This window comes from Homo sapiens, chromosome 5 (genome assembly GCF_000001405.40).
Source record: "Homo sapiens chromosome 5, GRCh38.p14 Primary Assembly".
Taxonomy (NCBI): domain Eukaryota; kingdom Metazoa; phylum Chordata; class Mammalia; order Primates; family Hominidae; genus Homo; species Homo sapiens.
In genome coordinates, this window is record NC_000005.10 from 152,738,203 (window position 1) to 152,760,849 (window position 22,647).

The 22,647-nt window shown below is 38.3% G+C and overlaps 1 long non-coding RNA gene across 1 annotated transcript in view, besides 1 other annotated feature; it reads right to left on the minus strand.

The window, feature by feature from the left end:
* Nucleotides 1-22,647, minus strand: part of LINC01470 (long intergenic non-protein coding RNA 1470) — a 353,385-nt gene that overhangs the window by 119,238 nt on the left and 211,500 nt on the right. The gene's annotated exons all lie outside the window — the stretch shown is intronic.
* Nucleotides 14,270-14,439: an enhancer, noted in NCBI's record as "experimental_83185 CRE fragment used in MPRA reporter constructs". NCBI's record gives its function as "activates a minimal promoter by MPRAs in K562 erythroleukemia cells, with activity observed for the non-introgressed 5:152132117 variant allele {active_cell/tissue: K562}" and the evidence as "EXISTENCE:reporter gene assay evidence [ECO:0000049][PMID:34662402]".

The window sequence follows — 22,647 nt, forward strand, 5'->3', positions numbered from 1 at the left end:
ATCTGCCTCAATTTATTTTGACACTTATTTGTAGGTTTCAGTGTAAAAGTATTGTACTTTATCTTTAAAATATAGTTTTAAATTATTTTTGATGTTAGTGGAATTGTTTTTTCAATTTTCTTTTCAGATTATTCATTTCTAGTGTATAGAAATACAACTAGTTTTAGGGAGACTGATGTCAGAAAGATGATGGAACAGGAGGTCTCCTGTTTGTATCCCCCACAACAATAATTTGTCAGTGACACGGGAACAAAAATGGTTTGTTATAGCTTTGAGATCCAGGTAGGAGGTTACAATACCTTAGTAGAGTCAAAGACATAAGAGGGTCACTTTTGAAAAGGCAGGCTTGGACCTGCACAGAAGGATTGCCCACAGTAGTCTCAGATGCAGACCTGGAAACAGTCCTGTACCCCCATGGACTCAGCTACAGTCTTGTCACCTGGGCATTCCACAAAGGGAGCTGGCCGGAGGCATATCTGCTTGTGCCTTGGGGAACAGGCTTGTTAATCTTGGTACCAGCTGTGGATTCTGAAGTGGCCTGTAAACCAAGTCCACCTCCCAGCTGTGGTCTGGAAGTATCCTGCTTGCTAAGAATCCAGAAGGAGATACAACCATCCTTGAACTGGAGACAGGCTTGCCAACCTAATTTGACTGCAGATTTGAAACCTGCCCTATGACTTGGTTCTAGCCCTTTTCAGTTGGAGTCTACTGCCTTCCTGAGGGCTCAGTGGAGAGTGCATGGAGAGGCACGTTCCCCACTGAGCCCTAAAGAAGGACTGAGCCAAAGGCAGGGATGCCAATGGAGGTTCCACTGCAGATCCTGAAGTGGCCCTGTGACCTAGTACTGGCTGCACTCCACTGAGGTCTGGGGCCAGTCCTGCTGCCCAGGAATCTAGAAAGAGGCATACCCATCCCCAAAGACAGGCCTGTACGTATCAGTACCAGCTGTCAACACTGAAGCAGCCCTGTGATTCCATTGTCACCCATCAGCCACACTGCAGGACCACTCTGATTGTCCGTGGATGTACCCAGTGACCCAGTATGAGCCACCCCCATCTGCATAACTGGTATCAGGCCCACTATCTGTGGATTCAAATGTTGACCCTGAAATGGACACTTTCCCCAGCACTAGCCTTACTGACCAATGTCCTGGAGACACTTTGATCTACTCAGAGACCACGCAGGATCCACAATTGCCTGATGACAAGCCTATGAACCATAGACTTCATTGCAGACCCAGAAGCAGCCACATAACATAACCTAACCACAAAGCCACTTTATTGCATTCCCAAGAGGCAATTTCTTAAGTAAGGGGACCTGATAGAATAAGGTCATTATCTGCAGGATCCAGACTATAAGAAATAGAGTTGTTTGCTTCTTCAAATGCATGAACACTGATGATGCAAGCCTACATGAATCACAAAGAATCAAGCAAATATGACACCACAAAAAGAACAGAGCTCCAGTAGCCAACATGAAAAATTGAAGATCTACAAATTGCCTGACAAATAATTCGAAGTATTCATTTTAAATATGCTCAATGAGATGTAAGAAAACACAAATAGAAAACCAAACAAAATCAGGAAAATGATTTAGGGAAAAAGAGAAATGTAGTGAAGAAATAAACACCATAAAGAAGAATCAAACAGAAATCCCAAAGCTGCAGAATACACTGACAGAACTGAAAAAAAAATGATAGAAAGCTTGAACATCATACTTGATCATGAAGAAGAATGGATCAGTGAATAGAAGGACAGGTCATTTGAAATTAGCCCCTTAGAGGAACAAAAAGAAAAAAATGAAAAAGAGTCAAGAAAGCATATGGGACATATGGGAACCACCCAACAAATGAATATATGCATTAGAAGAGTTCCAGAAATATGCTAGAAAGAGAAAAAATGTAGAAAGCTCATTTAAAGAAAAACATGGCCACTTTCCAACTTTCCAAAATCTTGGGAGCAATACTAAATGTAGATTCATGAAGCTTTCAGATCCCCACTCTATATTAATCAAAAGAAGATTACTCAGAGACACCTTACAATCAGATTGTCAAAAGTTATGATAAAGAGAATTTTGAAAACAGTGAAAGAAAAGTGATTTACCACATACACAGGAGCATCTATTAGGCTATAAGTGAATTTCTCTGTAGAAACTTTGCAGGCCATGGGGAGCGGAATAATATATTAAATGGACTGAAAAACAAAACAAAAACTGCCAACTAAGAATATTATAATCAGCAAAGATGCCCTTCAGAAATAAGGAAAGATAATGATATTCTAAGACAAATAAAAGCTGAGGGAATATATCACCACTAAATGTGTTTTACAGGAAACACTGAAGAGAGTTCCTCAAGCTGAAACAAAAGGATGCTAAGTAATAAAATGAAAACTTATAAAATGAAAACATATAATAGTAAGGTAAACTTGAATTCAGAATACTTTAATACTATAATAGCTGTACATAAGTCACTTTTAACTCTCGTATAAAAGTTAAAAGCCAAAAGAATAAATAACTGTAGTTATGATAATTTGTTAAAAGGTACACAACATAAAATGTGTAAAATATAACACCAATAGCATACAATATGTGTTTGGTGGGTGGAGGAGTAAAATGTAGAGTTTTTATACATGAATAAGTGTTTATTTTAAAATACATTTTTACAACTAAAAATATTTTATGTAAGCCTCATGGTAGCCACAGAGGAAAACAAAATAGGAAGTACACAAAAGATAAAGAGAAAGGAGAAGATGGCCGAATAGGAACAGCTCCGGTCTGCAGCTCCCAGCGTGAGCGACGCAGAAGACGGGTGATTTCTGCATTTCCATCTGAGTTACCGGGTTCATCTCACTAGGGAGTGCCAGACAGTGGGCACAGGTCAGTGGGTGTGTGCACCGTGCACGAGCCGAAGAAGGGCGAGGCATTGCCTCACTTGGAAAGGGCAAGGGGTTAGGGAGTTCCCTTTCTGAGTCAAAGAAAGGGGTGATGGACAGCACCTGGAAAATCGGGTCACTCCCACCCGAATACTGAGCTTTTCCGACGGGCTTAAAAAACAGCGCACCACGAGATTATATCCCACACCTGGCTCGGAGGGTCCTATGCCCATGGAGTCTCACTGATTGCTAGCACAGCAGTCTGAGATCAAACTGCAAGGTGGCAGCAAGGCTGGGGGAGGGGGCGCCCGCCATTGCCCAGGCTTGCTTAGGTAAACAAAGCAGCCTGGAAGCTCGAACTGGGTGGAGCCCACCACAGCTCAAGGAGGCCTGCCTGCCTCTGTAGGCTCCACCTCTGGGGGCAGGGCACAGACAAACAAAAAGACAGCAGTAACCTCTGCAGACTTAAATGTCCCTGTCTGACAGCTTTGAAGAGAGCAGTGGTTCTCCCAGCACGCAGCTGGAGATCTGAGAACGGGCAGACTGCCTCCTCAAGTGGGTCCCTGACAGCTGACCCCCGAGCAGCCTAACTGGGAGGCAACCCCCAGCAGGGGCACACTGACACCTCACACGGCAGGGTATTCCAACAGACTTGCAGCTGAGGGTCCTCTCTGTTAGAAGGAAAACTAAAAAAGAGAAAGGACATCCACACCAAAAACCCATCTGTACATCACCATCATCAAAGAACAAAAGTAGATAAAACCACAAAGATGGGGAAAAAACAGAACAGAAAAACTGGAAACTCTAAAAAGCAGAGCGCCTCTCCTCCTCCAAAGGAACGCAGTTCCTCACCAGCAACGGAACAAAGCTGGATGGAGAATGACTTTGAGGAGCTGAGAGAAGAAGGCGTCAGATGATCATATTACTCTGAGCTACGGGAGGACATTCAAACCAAAGGCAAAGAAGTTGAAAACTAACTTTGAAAAAAATTTAGAAGAATGTATAACTAGAAAAACCAAAACAGAGAAGTGCTTAAAGGAGCTGATGGAGCTGAAAACCAAGGCTCGAGAACTACGTGAAGAATGCAGAAGCCTCAGGAGCCGATGCGATCAACTGGAAGAAAGGGTATCAGCAATGGAAGATGAAATGAATGAAATGAAGCGAGAAGGGAAGTTTAGAGAAAAAAGAATAAAAAGAAATGAGCAAAGCCTCCAAGAAATATGGGACTATGTGAAAAGACCAAATCTACGTCTGATTGGTGTACCTGAAAGTGATGTGGAGAATGGAACCAAGTTGGAAAACACTCTGCAGGATATTATCGAGGAGAACTTCCCCAATCTAGCAAGGCAGGCCAACGTTCAGATTCAGGAAATACAGAGAACGCCACAAAGATACTCCTCGAGAAGAGCAACTCCAAGACACATAATTGTCAGATTCACCAAAGTTGAAATGAAGGAAAAAATGTTAAGGGCAGCCAGAGAGAAAGGTCGGGTTACCCTCAAAGGGAAGCCCATCAGACTAACAGCGGATCTCTCGGCAGAAACCCTACAAGCCAGAAGAGATTGGGGGCCAATATTCAACATTCTTAAAGAAAAGAATTTTCAACCCAGAATTTCATATCCAGCCAAACTAAGCTTCATAAGTGAAGGAGAAATAAAATACTTTACAGACAAGCAAATGCTGAGAGATTTTGTCACCACCAGGCCTGCCTTACAAGAGCTCCTGAAGGAAGCACTAAACATGGAAAGGAACAACCAGTACCAGCCGCTGCAAAATCATGCCAAAATGTAAAGACTATCGAGACTAGGAAGAAACTGCATCAACTAACGAGCAAAATAACCAGCTAACATCATCATGACAGGATCAAATTCACACATAACAATATTAACTTTAAATGTCAATGGACTAAATGCTCCAATTAAAAGACACAGACTGGCAAATTGGATAAAGAGTCAAGACCCATCAGTGTGCTGTATTCAGGAAACCTATCTCACATGCAGAGACACACATAGGCTCAAAATAAAAGAATGGAGGAAGATCTACCAAGCAAATGGAAAACAAAAAAAGGCAGGGGTTGCAATCTTAGTCTCTGACAAAACAGACTTTAAACCAACAAAGATCAAAAGAGACAAGGCCATTACATAATGGTAAAGGGATCAATTCAACAAGAAGAGCTAACTATCCGAAATATATATGCAACCAATACAGGAGCACCCAGATTCATAAAGCAAGTCCTGAGTGACCTACAAAGAGACTTAGACTCCCGCGCATTAATAATGGGAGACTTTAACACCCCACTGTCAACATTAGACAGATCAACGAGACAGAAAGTCAACAAGGATACCCAGGAATTGAACTCAGCTCTGCACCAAGCAGACCTAATAGACATCTATAGAACTCTCCACCCCAAATCAACAGAATATACATTTTTTTCAGCACCGCACCACACTTATTCCAAAATTGACCACATACTTGGAAGTAAAGCTCTCCTCAGCAAATGTAAAAGAACAGAAATTATAATAAACTATCTCTCAGACCACAGTGCAATCAAACTAGAACTCAGGATTAAGAATCTCACTCAAAACCGCTCAACTACATGGAAACTGAACAACCTGCTCCTGAATGACTACTGGGTACATAACGAAATGAAGGCAGAAATAAAGATGTTCTTTGAAACCAATGAGAACAAAGACACAACATACCAGAATCTCTGTGACGCATTCAAAGCAGTGTGTAGAGGGAAATTTATAGCACTAAATGCCCACAAGAGAAAGCAGGAAAGATCCAAAATTGACACCCTAACATCACAATTAAAAGAACTAGAAAAGCAAGAGAAAACACATTCAAAAGCTAGCAGAAGGCAAGAAATAACTAAAATCAGAGAAGAACTGAAGGAAATAGAGACACAAAAAACGCTTCAAAAAATTAATGAATCCAGAAGCTGGTTTTTTGAAAGGATCAATAAAATTGATAGACCGCTAGCAAGACTAATAAAGAAAAAGAGAGAGATGAATCAAATAGATGCAATAAAAAATGATAAAGGGGATATCACCACCGATCCCACAGCAATACAAACTACCATCAGAGAATACTACAAACACCTCTATGCAAATAAACTAGAAAATCAAGAAGAAATGGATAAATTCCTCAACACATACACTCTCCCAAGACTAAACCAGAAAGAAGTTGAATCTCTGAATAGACCAATAACAGGATCTGAAATTGTGGCAATAATCAATAGCTTACCAACCAAAAAGAGTCCAGGACCAGATGGATTCACAGCCAAATTCTACCAGAGGTACAAGGAGGAACTGGTACCATTCCTTCTGAAACTATTCCAATCAATAGAAAAAGAGGGAATCCTCCCTAACTCATTTTATGAGGCCAGCATCATTCTGATACCAAAGCCAGGCAGAGACACAACAAAAAAAGAGAATTTTAGACCAATATCCTTGATGAACATTGATGCAAAAATCCTCAATCAAATACTGGCAAACCGAATCCAGCAGCACATCAAAAAGCTTATCCACCATGATCAAGTGGGCTTCATCCCTGGGATGCAAGGCTAGTTCAATATACGCAAATCAATAAATGTAATCCAGCATATAAACAGAGCCAAAGACAAAAACCACATGATTATCTCAATAGATGCAGAAAAAGCCTTTGACAAAATTCAACAATGCTTCATGCTAAAAACTCTCAATAAATTAGGTATTGATGGGACATATTTCAAAATAATAAGAGCTATCTATGACAAACCCACAGCCAATATCATACTGAATGGCCAAAAACTGGAAGCATTTCCTTTGAAAACTGGCACAAGAGAGGGATGTCCTCTCTCACCACTCCTATTCAACATAGTGTTGGAAGTTCTGGCCAGGGAAATTAGGCAGGAGAAGGAAATAAAGGGTATTCAATTAGGAAAAGAGGAAGTCAAATTGTCCCTGTTTGCAGACGACATGATTGTATATCTAGAAAACCCCATTGTCTCAGCCCAAAATCTCCTTAAGCTGATAAGCAACTTCAGCAAAGTCTCAGGATACAAAATCAATGTACAAAAATCACAAGCATTCTTATAGACCAACAACAGACAGACAGAGAGCCAAATCATGAGTGAACTCCTATTCACAATTGCTTCAAAGAGAATAGAATACCTAGGAATCCAACTTACAAGGGATGTGAAGGACCTCTTCAAGGAGAACTACAAACCACTGCTCAAGGAAATAAAAGAGGATACAAACAGATGGAAGAACATTCCATGCTCATGGGTAGGAAGAATCAATATCATGAAAATGGCCATACTGCCCAAGGTAATTTACAGATTCAATGCCATCCCCATCAAGCTACCAATGACTTTCTTCACAGAATTGGAAAAAAACTACTTTAAAGTTCATATGGAACCAAAAAAAAGCCCGCATCGCCAAGTCAATCCTAAGCCAAAAGAACAAAGCTGGAGGCATCACACTACCTGACTTCAAACTATACTACAAGGCTACAGTAACCAAAACAGCATGGTACTGGTACCAAAACAGAGATATAGATCAATGGAACAGAACAGAGCCCTCAGAAATAACACCACATATCTACAACTATCTGATCTTTGACAAACCTGAGAAAAACCAGCAATGGGGAAAGGATTCCCTATTTAATAAATGGTGCTGGGAAAACTGGCTAGCCACATGTAGAAAGCTGAAACTGGATCCCTTCCTAGGTTACACCTTATACAAAAATCAATTCTAGATGGATTAAAGACTTAAACGTTAGACCTAAAACCATAAAAACCCTAGAAGAAAACCTAGGCATTACCATTCAGGACATAGGCATGGGCAAGGACTTCATGTCTAAAACACCAAAAGCAATGGCAACAAAAGACAAAATTGACAAATGGGATCGAATTAAACTAAAGAGCTTCTGCACAGCAAAAGAAACTACCATCAGAGTGAACAGGCAACCTACAAAATGGGAGAAAATTTTTGCAACCTACTCATCTGACAAAGGGCTAATATCCAGAATCTACAATGAACTCAAACAAATTTACAAGGAAAAAACAAACAACCCCATCAAAAAGTGGGTGAAGGACATGAACAGACACTTCTCAAAAGAAGACATTTATGCAGCCAATAAACACATGAAAAAATGCTCATCATCACTGGCCATCAGAGAAATGCAAATCAAAACCACAATGAGATACCATCTCACACCAGTTAGAATGGCTATCATTAAAAAGTCAGGAAACAACAGGTGCTGGAGAGGATGTGGAGACATAGGAACACTTTTACACTGTTGGTGGGACTGTAAACTAGTTCGACCATTGTGGAAATCAGTGTGGCGATTCCTCAGGGATCTAGAACTGGAAATACCATTTGACCCAGCCATCCCATTACTGGGTATATACCCAAAGGACTATAAATCATGCTGCTATAAAGACACATGCACACATATGTTTATTGCGGCACTATTCACAATAGCAAAGACTTGGAACCAACCCAAATGTCCAACAATGATAGACTGGATTAAGAAAATGTGACACATATACACCATGGAATACTATGCAGCCATAAAAAATGATGAGTTCATGTCCTTTGTAGGGACATGGATGAAATTGGAAATCATCATTCTCAGTAAACTATCGCAAGAACAAAAAACCAAACACCGCATATTCTCACTCATAGGTGGGAATTGAACAATGAGATCACATGGACACAGGAAGGGGAATATCACACTCTGGGGGCTGTTGTGGGGTGGGGGGAGGGGGGAGGGATAGCATCGGGAGATATACCTAATGCTAGATGATGAGTTAGTGGGTGCAGCACACCAGCATGGCACATGTATACATATGTAACTAACCTGCACAATGTGCACATGTACCCTAAAACTTAAAGTATAATAAAAAAAAGAGAGAAAATTTAACAGCAATTAGGTTTTTACAAGGTGATATGCAATTAAATTTAGCTTATTTTAAAAGAAAAAAAAAGAGAAAGGAAACATTGAGCAGTAGTTTGTAGTTCTCTGTGTAGAGAGCCTTTATTTCCCTTGTTAGCTGTATTAATAGGTATTTCATTCTTTTTGTGGCAATTATGAATGGACGTTCTTTTGTGCTTTGGCTCTCTTCCTGCCTGTTGGTGTATAGAAATGCTAGTGACATTTGCACATTTATTTGTATTCTGAGACTTTGCTGAAGTTGCTTAATAGCTTAAGAATCTTTTGGGCTGAGATGTCAGGGTTTTCTAGATATAGGATCATGTCATCTGCAAAAAAAGATAGTTTACTCTCCTCTCTTCCTATCTGAATATCACCATTTCTTTCTCTTACCTGATTGCCCTAGCCAGAACTTCTAATACTATGTTGAATAAGAGTGGTGAGAGAGGACATCCTTGGCTTGTGCCAGTTTTCAAGGAGAATGCCTCTTTTGCCCAATCAGTATCATACTGGCTGGCTCTTATTATTTTGAAGTATGTTCCTTCAATACCTATAACACAAGCAAATGGAAAATCATTTCAGCCTTATGGATAGGAAGAATCATTATCTTGAAAATGGCCATACTGCCCAAAGCAATTTATGCATTCAATGCTATTCCCATTAAACTACCATTGACATTCTTCACAGAACTAGAAAAAGTATTTTAAAATTCATATAGAACCAAAGAAAAGAGCTTGAGTAGCCAAGGCAATCCTAAGCAAAAAGAGAAAAGCTGGAAGCATCACACTACTTGACCTCAAACTATACTCCAGGGCTACAGTAAACAAAACAGCATGGTACTGGTACAAGAACAGACACAACCCAGAAATCAGACCACACGCCTACATCCATCTGATCTTCAACAAACCTGACAAAAAGAATGGGGAAGTGATTTTCTATTTAACAAATGGGGCTAGGAGAACTGACTAGCCATATGCAGAAAACTGAAAATGGACCCCTTTCTTACATCATTTACAAAAATGAACTCAATATGGATTAAAGACTAGAATGTAAAAGCCAAAACCATAAAAGCACTACAAGAAAACCTAGGCAATACCATTTAGGACACAGGGGTGGTCAAAGACTTCATGACAAAAATGCCAAAAGCAATTGCAACAAAAGCCAAAATTGACAAATGGGATCTAATTAAACTAAAGAGCTTCTGCACAGCAAAAGAAACTATCAACAGAGTAAACAGACAACCTACAGAATGGGAGAATATTTTTGCAATCTATGCACTTGATGAAAGTCTAATATCCAGCATCTATAAGGAACTTGAACAAATTTACAAGAAAAAACAACCCCATTAAAAAGTGGGCAAAGGACATGAACAGACACTTATCAAAAGATGACATACATGCAGCCAATAAGCATATGAAAAAAAGCTCAACATCACTGTCCATTAGAGAAATGCAAACCAAAGCCACAATGAGATACCATCTCATGCCAGTCAGAATGGTTATTATTAAAATGTCAAAAAATAATAGATGCTAGCAAGGTTGTGGAGAAAAACAAACACTTTTACACTGTTGGTGGGATTGTAGTCAACCATTATGAAAGACACTGTGGTGATTCCTCAAAGACCTACAGATAAAAATACCCAGTAATGGTATTACTGAGTATATACCCAGTAATGGTATTACTGAGTATATACCCAGTAATGGTATTACTGAGTATATACCCAGTAATGGTATTACTGAGTATATACCCAGAGGAATATAAACCATTCTATTATAAAGACACATGCATGCATATGTTCAAAATAGCACTATTCAAAACAGCAAAGACATGGAATCAACCTAAATGCCCATCAGTGGTAGACAGGATAAAGAAAATGTGGCATATATATACCATGGAATACTATGCAGCCATAACTTTACAAGGACATGGATGGAGCTGGAGGCCATCATCCTTAGCAAACTAATGCAGGAACAGAAAACCAAATACCACATGTTCTTACTTATAAATGTGAGCTAAATGAATGCATAGAGGGGAAAAATGCACACTGACTGGGGCCTACCAGAGTGTAGAGGCTGGGAGGAGGGAACAGATCAGGAAAAATAACTAATGGATAGTAGGCTTAATACTTGGCTGATGAAATAAGCTATACAACAAACCCCCATGACACATGTTTACTTATGTAACAAACCTTCACATCCTGCACATGTATCATTGAACTTAAAGGAATCAGAGCATTCCATTACAAAACAAATAACAGCAAATAGCAAGAGACGAAAAGGAAATAAAAATGTCATAAACAATAAAATGGCAGTAGTAAGTCCTTACCCATTAATAATTACTTTAAATGTAAATTGATTAAATTTGCTATTCAAAAGACGCAGAGTGAAAGGATATAAAGAAAAGTAAGATTCAACAATATGCTGCTCATAAAAGACTCATTTAAACCCTAAGGACATACATAGGTCGAAAGTGATGAGATGGAAAAAGATATTCCAAGCAAATGAAAACCAAAAGGAGCAAGGGTGGCTATATTTCTGTTAGACAAAATGAACTCAGTCAAAATCTGTCACGAGAGACAGAGAAAATTACTACATAATGATAAAAGGGTCAATTCATTAAGATGATATAAGTATTGTAAATATATATGCAGCCAACACAGTAGCACCTAAACATATAAAGCAAAGATTGCCAAAACCTAAGGGAGAAATAGAAATACAACAATAGCAGGGAATTTCAATGCCCCCTTCAACAACAGATAGATCATTCAGATATAACTTGAATAACCCTATAGACCAAATAGACCTAACAGATACATATGCAGCACATCTCATCCAAAGAGAATACACACTCTTCCCAAGCACACATGGTACATACTCCAGAATAGATTATATGTGCGGCCACCAAACAAATGTTAACAAATTTGAAGATTTAAGTAATATCAAATGTACTTTTCTACCACAGTGGTATAAAACTCAAATTCAATAAAAGGAAGAATTTTGAAAAAATACAAACATGTAAAAAGCACACTACTGAATAACCAGTGGGTCCAAGAAGATATCAGAGATGCAAAGATGTTTCAATGTATACAAATCGGTAAACATAGTACACCACATTAGCAGAATGGGGAATTTAAAAATTATACCATCACTCCATAGATGCAAAAAAAGCATTTGACAAAATTTTGTATCCTTTCACCATACAAAAACCTCTCAACAAATGATATATACAAGCAATTTACCTCAACATACTGAAGAACATACATGACAAACCTATAGCTAACATTATACTTAATGGTGAAAAGATGAAAGTTTTTCCTCTAACATCAGCAACAAAGCAAGAATGTCCGATCTCACTATTTGTATTAACATAGTACTAGAAGTCCTAGGTAGAGCAATTAGGCAAGATACTGTAGGCAGTATCTACACGGCAAAGAAATAAGTTAAATTGTCTTTGTTTATAAATGATATGATTATATTTCTAGGAAACCCTGAATACTTCCCCCAAAACCTGTTAAAGCTAATAAATGACTTCAGTAAAGTTGCAGGATGCAAAATTAGTATAAAAAGCAGTTGCCTTTCTATACGCTAACAAGTTATCCAAAAATTATATTAAGAAAACAATTCCATTTATAATAGCATCAAACATAATAAGATACTTAGGAATAAGTTTAACCAAGGAGTTATATTTTGAAAAATTTTAAAAGATACAAATAAGTGGAAAGATGTTCTGTGTTTATAGCTTGGAAGAATTAATCTTGTTAAAATTGTTATACTACCCAAAGCAATCTTCAGATTCAGTGCAATCCTTATCAAAATACTAAAGTCATTTTTTTCATAGAAATAGAAAAAAATCCTAAAATGTATACAGAACCACAAAAGATATTGAGTAGACAAAATAATCTCGAGTAAGAACAAAAAACTGGAGGCATTGCATTTCTGAATGTCAAATTATATTACAAACCTATATTTGTCAAAACAGCATGGTACCGACATATTCAGAAAGACAAATGGAGCAGAATAGAGCATCCAGAAATTAATCCATACATGTACGGTAAACCAAGCTTTGAAAAGGGTGCCAAGAATACATGATGGGGAAATGATAGTGTGTTGAATATATGATGTTGAGAAAGCTAGATGTCTGTATGCAAAAAGATGAAATTATATCCTTATATTACACACAAAAATTAACTCAACATGGATTGAAGACTTAAATGTAAGACCTGAAACCAAAATTCTTTAAGAAGAAAACATAAGGAGGAAAAAAAAAAACTCCTAGACATTGTTCTTGGGAATGATATTTTGGATATGACACCAACAGCACAGGCAACAAAAGTAAATGTAAACAAGTATGACTATATCAAACTAAAAAGTTACTGCACAGCAAAGGAAATAATCAACAAAATGAAAAGACAACCTGCAAAATGCAAGAAAATATTTGCAAACCGTCTGTGTGGTGAGGGCGAATATCCCAAACTATAAGAAACTTATAGAACTCAAATAACAAAAATAACCTGATTTAAAAATCAGCAAACAACAATTGATAGTTAATTCTATGTATCAACTTGATTGGAATAAGGGATGCCCAGACAGCTGAGAAAGCATCATTTCTGAGTGTGTCAATGAGGGTGTTTCTGGAGAGATTAGCATTTGGATCAGCAGACTGAGTAAAGAAAATCAGGAGAGGCCAAGACGGTCGGATAGGAACAGCTCCAGTCTTCATCTCCCAGTGAGATCAAAGAAGAAGGTGGGTGATTTCTGCATTTCCAACTGAGGCACCTAGTTCATCTCATTGGGATGGGTTAGGCAGTGGGTACAACCCATGTGGAGCAAGCAGAAGCAGGGTGGGGCATCGCTTCACCCAGGAAGTGCAAGGAGCTGAGGGTCCTCCCTCCCCAACCTAAGGGAAGCCCTGAGGGACTGTGCTACCCAGCTGGGTTACTACATTTTTTCCACAGTTTTTGCAGTCGCAGATCAGGAGATTCCTTTGTGTGCCTAGACCATCAGGCCCCTGGGTTTCAAGGACAAATCTGGGCAGCTGTTTGGGCAGACACCAAGCTAGCTGCAGGAGTTTTTTTCATACCCCAGCGGCTCCTGGAACCTCAGTGAGATAGAACCATTCACTCCCCTGGAAAGGGGGCTGAAGCCAGGGAGCCAAACGGTCTTGCTCAGTGGGTCCCACTCCCACAGAGCCCAGCAAGCTAAGAACTACTGGCTTGAAATTCTCACTGCCAGTGCAGCAGTCTAAAGTCAACCTGGGATGATTGAGCTTGGTGAGGGGAAAGGCGTCCACCATTACTGAGGCTTTAGTAGGCAGTTTTCCCCTGACAGTGCTAAGGAGGTGGGAAGTTTGGACTGGACAGAATTCACCACAGCACAGCAAAGCAGCTGTGGCCAGACTGCTTCTCTAGATTTCTCCTCACTGGGCAGGGCAATGCTGAAGGAAAGGCAGCAGCCCCAGTCAAGGGCTTACAGATAAAACTCTCAACTCCCTGGGACAGAACACCTGGGGGAAGGGGTGGCTATGGGTGCAGCTTCAGTGGATTTAATCTTTCCTGCCTGCCAGCTCTGAAGAGAACAATTGATCTTGACAAGGGGGACTGTCCCAGCACAGAGCACCAGCTCTAAGAGACAGACTGCCTCCTCAAGTGGGTCCCTGATCCCCATGCCTCCTGACTTGGAGAGACGTCCCAACAGGTATCAACAGACACCTCATACAGGAGAGCTCCAGCTGGCATCAGGTCAGTGCCCCTCTGGGAGAAAGCTTCCACAGGAAGAAGGCAGCAATCTTTGCTGTTCTGCAGCCTCCACTGGTGATACCTAGGCAAACAGGGTCTGGAGTGGACCTCCAGCAAACTGCAGCAGACCTGCAGAAGAGGGTCCTTACTGTTAGAAGAAACAGTAACAAACAGAAAGCAACAACATCAACATCAACAAAAGAGACCCTTACACAAAAACCCCTTCCAAAGCTCATCAGCCTCAAAGATCAAAGGTAGATAAATCCACAAAGATGAGGAAAAAACAGCGCAAAAACACTAAAAATTCCAAAAACCAGAATGCCTCTTCTCCTCTAAATGATTGCAACTCCTCTCCAGCAAGAGCACAAAACTGGACGGAGAACAAGATTGATGAATTGACCAAGTAGGCTTCAGAAGATAATAACAAACTCCTCTGAGCTAAAGGAACATGTTCTAACCCAATGCAAGGAACCTAAGAACCTTGATAAAAGGTACAGGAACTGATAACTAAAATAACCAGTTTAGAGAGGAAGATAAATGACCTGATGTAGCTGAAAAACACAGCAGGAGAACTTCACGTAGTATACACAAGTATCAATAGCTGAATCGATCAAGTGGAAGAAAGGATATCAGAGATTGAAGATCAAGCTACTGAAATAAGGCATGAAGACAAAATTGAGAAAAAAGAATGAGAAGGAATGAACAAAGCCTCCAAGAAATATAGAACTATGTGAAAAGACCAAACCTATGATTGACTGTTATACCTGAAAGCAACAGGTAGAATGGAACCAAGTTGGAAAACACACTTCAGGATATTATCCAGGAGAATTTCCCTAAACTAGCAAGACAGACCAACATTTAAATTCAGGAAATACAGAGAACACCACTAAGATACTCCTCCAGAAGAGCAACCCCAAAACACTTAATTGTCAGATTCTCCAAGGTTGAAACAAAGGAAAAAACATTAAGGGCAGCCAGAGAGAAAGGTCAGGTTACCTACAAAGGGAAGCCCATCAGACTAACAGAGGATCTCTCTACAGAAACCCTGCAAGCCAGAATAGAGTGGGGGCCAATATTCAACATTCTTAAAGAAAAGAATTTTCAGTCCAGAATTTAATATCCAGCCAAACTAAGCTTCATAAGCAAAGGAGAAATAAAATCCTTTCCAGACAAGCAAATGCTGAGGGATTTTGTCACCACCAGGCCTGCCTTACAAGAGCTCCTGAAGGAAGCACTAAATATGGAAAGGAAAAACTGATACCAGCCACTGCAAAAAAACTAAACAAAATATAAAGACCAATGACAATACAAAGAAACTGCATCAACTAATGTGCAAAATAACCAGCTAGCATCATTATGACAGGATCAAATGCACACATAACAATATTAACCTTAAATGTAAATGTGCTAAATGCCCCAATTAAAAGATGCAGACTGGCAAATTGGATAGAGTCAAGACCTACTGGTAGGCTGTATTCAGGAGACCCGTCTCATGTGCAAAGACACACATAGGCTCAAAATAAAGGGAGGGAGGAATGTTTACCAAGCAAATAGAAGGCAAAAAAAGGCAGGGGCTCCGTTCCTAGTCTCTGATAAAACAGACTTTAAACCAACAAAGGTCAAAAAAGACAAAAAAGGGCATTATATAATGGTAAAGGCATCAATGCAACAAGAGCTAACTATCTTAAATATACATGCACCCAATTCAGGAGCACCCAGATTCATAAAACAAGATCTCAGAGACCTACAAAGAGACTTAGACTCCCACACAATAATAGTGAGAGACTTTAACACCCCACTGTCAATATTAGATAAATGAGACAGAAAATTAACAAGGATATTCGGGACTTGAATTCAGCTCAGGACCAAGCAGACCTAATAGACATCTACAGAAGTCTCCACCCCAAATCAACAGAATATACATTCTTCTCAGCACCACATAGAACTTATTCTAAAATTAACCACATAAATGGAAGGAAAACACTCCTCAGCAAATGCAAAAAAATGAAAATCATAAACAATCTTTCAGACCACAGTGCAATCAAATTAGAACTCAGGATTAAGAAAACTGACTCAAAACTGCACAACTACATAGATATTGAACAACCTGCTCCTGAATGACTACTGGGTAAATAACAAAATGAAGGCAGAAATCAAGCAGTTCTTTGAAACCAATGAGAACAAAGAGACATTGTACCAGAATCACTGGGACACAGCTAAAGCAGTGTTAAGAGGCAAATTTATAGCACTAAATGCACACATCAGAAAGCTGGAAAGATCTGAAATTGACACCATAACTTCACAATAAAAAGAACTAGAGAAGCAAGAGCAAACAAATTCAAAAGCTAGCAGAAGACAAGAAATAACTAAGATCAGAGCAGAGCTGCAGGAGTTAGGGACACAAAAAACCCTTCAAAAAAATTAATGAATCCAGGAGCTCGTTTTTTGAAAAGATTAACAAAATAGACTGCTAGCTAGACTAATAAAGAAAAAAAGAAAGAATCAAATAGACACAATAAAAAATAACGGCGATATCACCTCTGATCCCACAGAAATACAAACTACCATCAGAGAATACTATAAACACCTCTATACAAGTAAACTAAAAACAAATCTAGAAGAAATGGATAAATTCCTGGACACATATACCCTCCCAAGACTAAACTGGGAAGAAGTCGAATCCCTGAATAGAACAATAACAAGTCCTGAAACTGAGGCAGTAATTAATAGCCTACCAACAAAAACAAAAGCCCAAGACCAGACGGAGTCACAGCCTAATTCTACCAGAGGTACAAAGAGCAGCTGGAACCATTTCTTCTGAAACTATTCCAAACAATAGAAAAAGAGGGACTCTTCCCTAACTCATTTTATGAGTCCAGCATCATCCTGATATCAAAACCTGGCAGAGACACACAAAAAAAGAGAATTAATTTCAGGCCAATATCCCTGATGAACATTGATGCAAAAATCCTCAATAAAATACTGGCAAACCGAATCCAGCAGCACATCAAAAAGCCTATCCACCACAATCAAGTCGGCTTCATCCCTGGGATGCAAGGCTGGTTCAACATATGCAAATCAATAAATGTAATCCATCACATAAGCAGAACAAATAACAAAACCACATGATTATCTCAATAGATGCAGAAAAGGCATTCGATAAAATTCAACACCCTTTCATGCTAAAAACTCTCAATAAACTCGATATTGATGGAACATATCTCAAATTAATAAGAGCTATTTACGACAAACCCACAGCCAATATCATACTGAATGGGCAAAAGATGGAAGCATTCCCTTTGAAATCTGGCACAAGACAAGGATGCCCTCTCTCACCACTCCTATTCATCATAGTATTGGAAGTTCTGGCCAGGGCAATCAGGCAAGAGAAAGAAATAAAGGGTATTCAAATAGGAAAATAGGAAGTCAAATTGTCTCTGGTTGCAAATGGCATGATTGTATATTTAGAAAACTCCATTATCTCAGCCCCAAAACTCCTTAAGCTAATAGGCAACTTCAGCAAAGTCTCAGGATACAAAATCAATGTGCAAAAATCACAAGCATTCCTATACACCAGTAATAGACAAGCAGAGAGCCAACTCATAAGCGAACTCTGATTCACAATTGCTACAAAGAGAATAAAATACCTGGGAATACGACTTACAAGGGACGTGATGGATCTCTTCAAGGAGAACTACAACCCACTGCTCAAATAAATAAGAGAGAACACAAACAAATGGAAAAACATTCCATGCTCGCGGATAGGAAGAATATCGTGAAAATGGCCATACTGCCCAAAGTAATTTATAGACTCAGTGCTATTCCCATCAAGCTACCACTGACTTTCTTCACAGAATTTGAAAAAAACTACCTTAAATTTCATATGGAAACAAAAAAGAGCCTGCATAGCCAAGATAATCCTGACCAAAAAGGACGAAGCTGGAGGCATCATGCTACCTGACTTCAAATTGAACTACAAGGCTACAGTACCCAAAACAGCATGGTACCAGTACCAAAACATATATAGACCAATGGAACAGAATAGAGACCTCAGAAATAACACCACACATCTACAACCATCTGATCTTTAGCAAACCTGACAAAAGCTAGCAATGGAGAAAAGATTCCCTATTTAATAAATGATGCTGGGAAAACTGGCTAGCCATATGCAGAAAACAGAAACTGGACCCCTTCCTTACACCTTGTACAAAAATTAACTCAAGATGGATTAAAGAGTTAAAGCTGAAACCCAAAACCATAAAAACCCAAGAAGAAAACCTAGGCAATACCATTCAGGACATACACATGGGCAAAAACTTCATGACTAAAACACCAAAGGCAATTGCAACAAAAGCCAAAATTGACAACTGGGATCTAATTAAACTAAAAAGCTTCTGCACAGCAAAAGAAACTATCATCAGCGTAAACAGGCCTACAAAATGGGAGAATATTTTTGCAATCTACCCATCTGACAAAGCGCTAATATCCAGAAACTACAAAGAGCTCAAATTTATAAGAAAACAAACAAACAAACAAACAAACAATCCCATCAAAAAGTAGGTGAAGGATATGAGCAGACACTTCTCAAAAGAAGGCATTTATGCAGCCAACAAACATGAAAAAAAACTCATCATCACTGGTCATTAGAGAAAGCGAATGAAAACCACAATGAGATACCATCTCATGCCAGTTAGAATGGTGATTATTAAAAAGTCAGGAAATAACAGATGCTGGAGAGGATGTGGAGAAATATGAACGCTTTTACACTTTTGGTGGCATTGTGGAAGAGAGTGTGGCGATTCCTCAAGGATCTAGAACCAGAAATACCATTTGACCCAGTAATCCCTTTACTGGGTATATACCCAAAGGAATATGAATCATTCTAGTATAAAGACACATGCACACATGTCTATCACAAAACTATTTACAATAGCAAAGACTTGGAACCAATCCAAATGTGCTTCAATGATAGACTGGATAAAGAAAATGTGGCACATATACACCATGGAATACTATGCAGTCATAAAAAAAGAATGAGTTCATGTCCTTTGCAAGGACATGGATGAAGCTGGAAGCCACCATTCTCAGTAAACTAACACAGGAATAGAAAACCAAACACCACATGTTCTCACTCATAAGTGGGAGTTGAACAATGAGAACATATGAACACAGGGTGGGGAGAATCACACACTGGGTCTGTCAGGGGCTGAGGGGCAAGGGGAGGGAGAGCATTAGGACAAATAGCTAATGCATGTGGGGCTTAAAACCTAGATGATGGGTTGATAGGTGCAGCAAACCAGCATGGCACATGTATGCCTATGTAACAAACCTGTATGTTCTACACATGTATCCCAGAAGTTGAGATTAAAAAAAAAAATCCCCCTTCATTAATGTGGACAGCATTATCAAATTCATTAGACAAAAAGGTGGTGGAAAGGCAAATTATTTCTCTCTTCTTGAACTAAGACATCTGTCTTCTCCTGCCTTGCCCTTCAGAGCTCCCAGTTCTCAAGCCTTCAGACTCTAGGACGTACATCATTGGCTCTGAGTTCTCAGGCCTTTGGTCATGGACTTAGAGTTACATTATTTCTTTTAGTTATTGGGCCTTCAGACTCAGACCAAATTACACCACTAACTTTTCAGATTATCCAAGCTTGCAGATGGCATACTGTGGGACTTGGCCTCCATAGCTGTAAGTCAATTCCTATAATAAATCTCTGATTTCTATCTGTATAATTGTTTCTGTTTTTCTGGAGAACCCTAATACAGACCTAAACATTTTTCCTAAGATGACATATAAGCGCCAATAAGCATGTGAAAAGGTACTTATCATGAATAATCTGGGAAATGAAAATTAAAATGAGATATCTCACACCTGTTAAGTGGCTATCATAAAAAAGACAATAGATAACAAGTGTTGGCAAGGATATAGAGAAAAGGAAATTCTTATACACCAATATGATTTAGTAGGAATGTTAATTGGTACAGCTAGTATGGAAAACATTACGGAGTTCCTCAAAAATTAAAAATAGAACTATACTATGATCCAGTAACACCACTTCTGGGTGTACAGTTGTTCCTTGACTTACAATGAGGTTGTGTCCTAATAAACTCATTGTATGTAAGTTGAAAATGTTGTAAGTCAAAAATGCATTTAATACACCTACCAAACATTGTAGCTTATCCTACCCTACCTTAAACCTGCTCAGAACACTTACATTAGCTTACGTTTGGACAAAATCATCTAGCACAAAGCCTATTTTATTATAAATGTTGACTATCCTCAAGCAATTTATTGGAGATTGTACTAAAAGTGAAAAGGAGAATGGTTATATGGATACTTGAAGTGTAGTTTCTATTAAATGCATTTTGATTTCACACCATCGTAAAGTCAAAAAATGGTAAGTCAAATTATTCTAAGTTAGGAATTGTCTCTATATCCAAAATAAATGAAATCAGTGTCTTGAAGTGATATCAAATCCATATTCATTGTGGTCTTCACAACAGCTAAGGTATGGGAACAACCTATACATCCATCAGTGCATAAATAGAGAAAGAAAATGTGAGACACACTGGAGTATTGTTCAATCATAACAAAGAAAATAAATTGTCATTTGCAACAATATGGATGACACCGAAGTCATTAGTAAGTGACATAAGCCAGAAACGGAAAGACAAAATACTGTGATCTCATTTATATGTGGAATCCAAAAACGTTGATCACACAGAAACAGAATGGTGTCTGCCAAGAACTAGTGGGTAGGGAGAATGAAAAGACATTGGTCAAAGGATACAAAATGTCAGTTATAAGTGATTAAGTTCTGGAATCTAATGTAAAAATGTTGAATATAGTTAAAAATAGTGTATTGTATACTTGAAATTTGCTAAGAAAGCAGTTCTTAATTGTTCTGAGCACACACAAAAAAGGTAACGCTGTGAGGTGACAGATGGGTTATTTTACTCAACTGTAATTATATCACATTGTTATGTTCATATCAAACCATCAAAGTATATAACTTTTGTTAATTATACCTCAATAAAGAAGGAAAAATAGAAATATAACGTTTTTGTATATTGATATTGCATCCTACATATTTGCTAAATCATTTATGAGCACCAACAGTTTTTTATGGATTCTTCAGGGTTTTTTTTTATGTATGAGATTATGCCATCTGCAAATAGTGATATTTTTACTTCTTCCTTTCCAATATGAATGACTTCATTTCTTTTTCTTGCTATTTTCCCTAGCTGCATCTCCAGTACAATGTCAAATGGAAGCTGTGAGAGTAGGCATTCATGTCTTGTTCCTCTTGTTAGCAGGAAAGTTTTCAGTCTTTCACTATTAAGTCTGATGTTAGCTATGCTCTTTTCATAGATACTCATTGTGAGGTTGAGAAAATTCCCTTTATATTCCAACTTTGTTGAGTGTTTTCATTATGAAAGGGTGTTGAGTTTTGTCAAATGATCTTTCTGCATTTATTGAGATGATCATGTAAGATTATTTTACTATTATAGCATATTGATTGATTTTCAAGTTTAGTCAACCATTTGTTTATGGTGATCGTCTTTTTGAATATTGAGTTTTCCTTTTCTCACACATATGAGTTCAAGTTTGCATTTTTTTCTGTTAAGGGAGATTTAACTGCATGCCAAAAGATTTGAAAAATATTATCAATTATTTAAAAATATTTTCTAATTTATATTTTTGTTTCTTAGGAATTGGGGATTATTTAAAAGTGTTCTGCTTAATTTCTAAACATTTGAGGATTTTCATAGCCATGATTTATAGTTTTTGTGTTACCAACTAACCTCTTATCCAATTCTACCACAGGAAAATAAAAAATAATGCTCTGTATAATCTCCAATTTGAAATTTGTTGAGAATTGGTTAAATGACCTAGCAACTGATCAATATTGGTAATTATTCTATGTGAATTGATAACTATATTTTGCAGTTGTTGATTGCATATGTCTGTGATCAATTTTATTGTTATAAAAATATTTAATACTGCTTATTTTGTTTTACCAGTTACTGAGAGATATTAAAAATCTTTTACAATAATTAATGATCTGACTAATTCTCATTTTCTGTATGTGAGCTTCTTGTACTTGTTTTGCAGTTTTA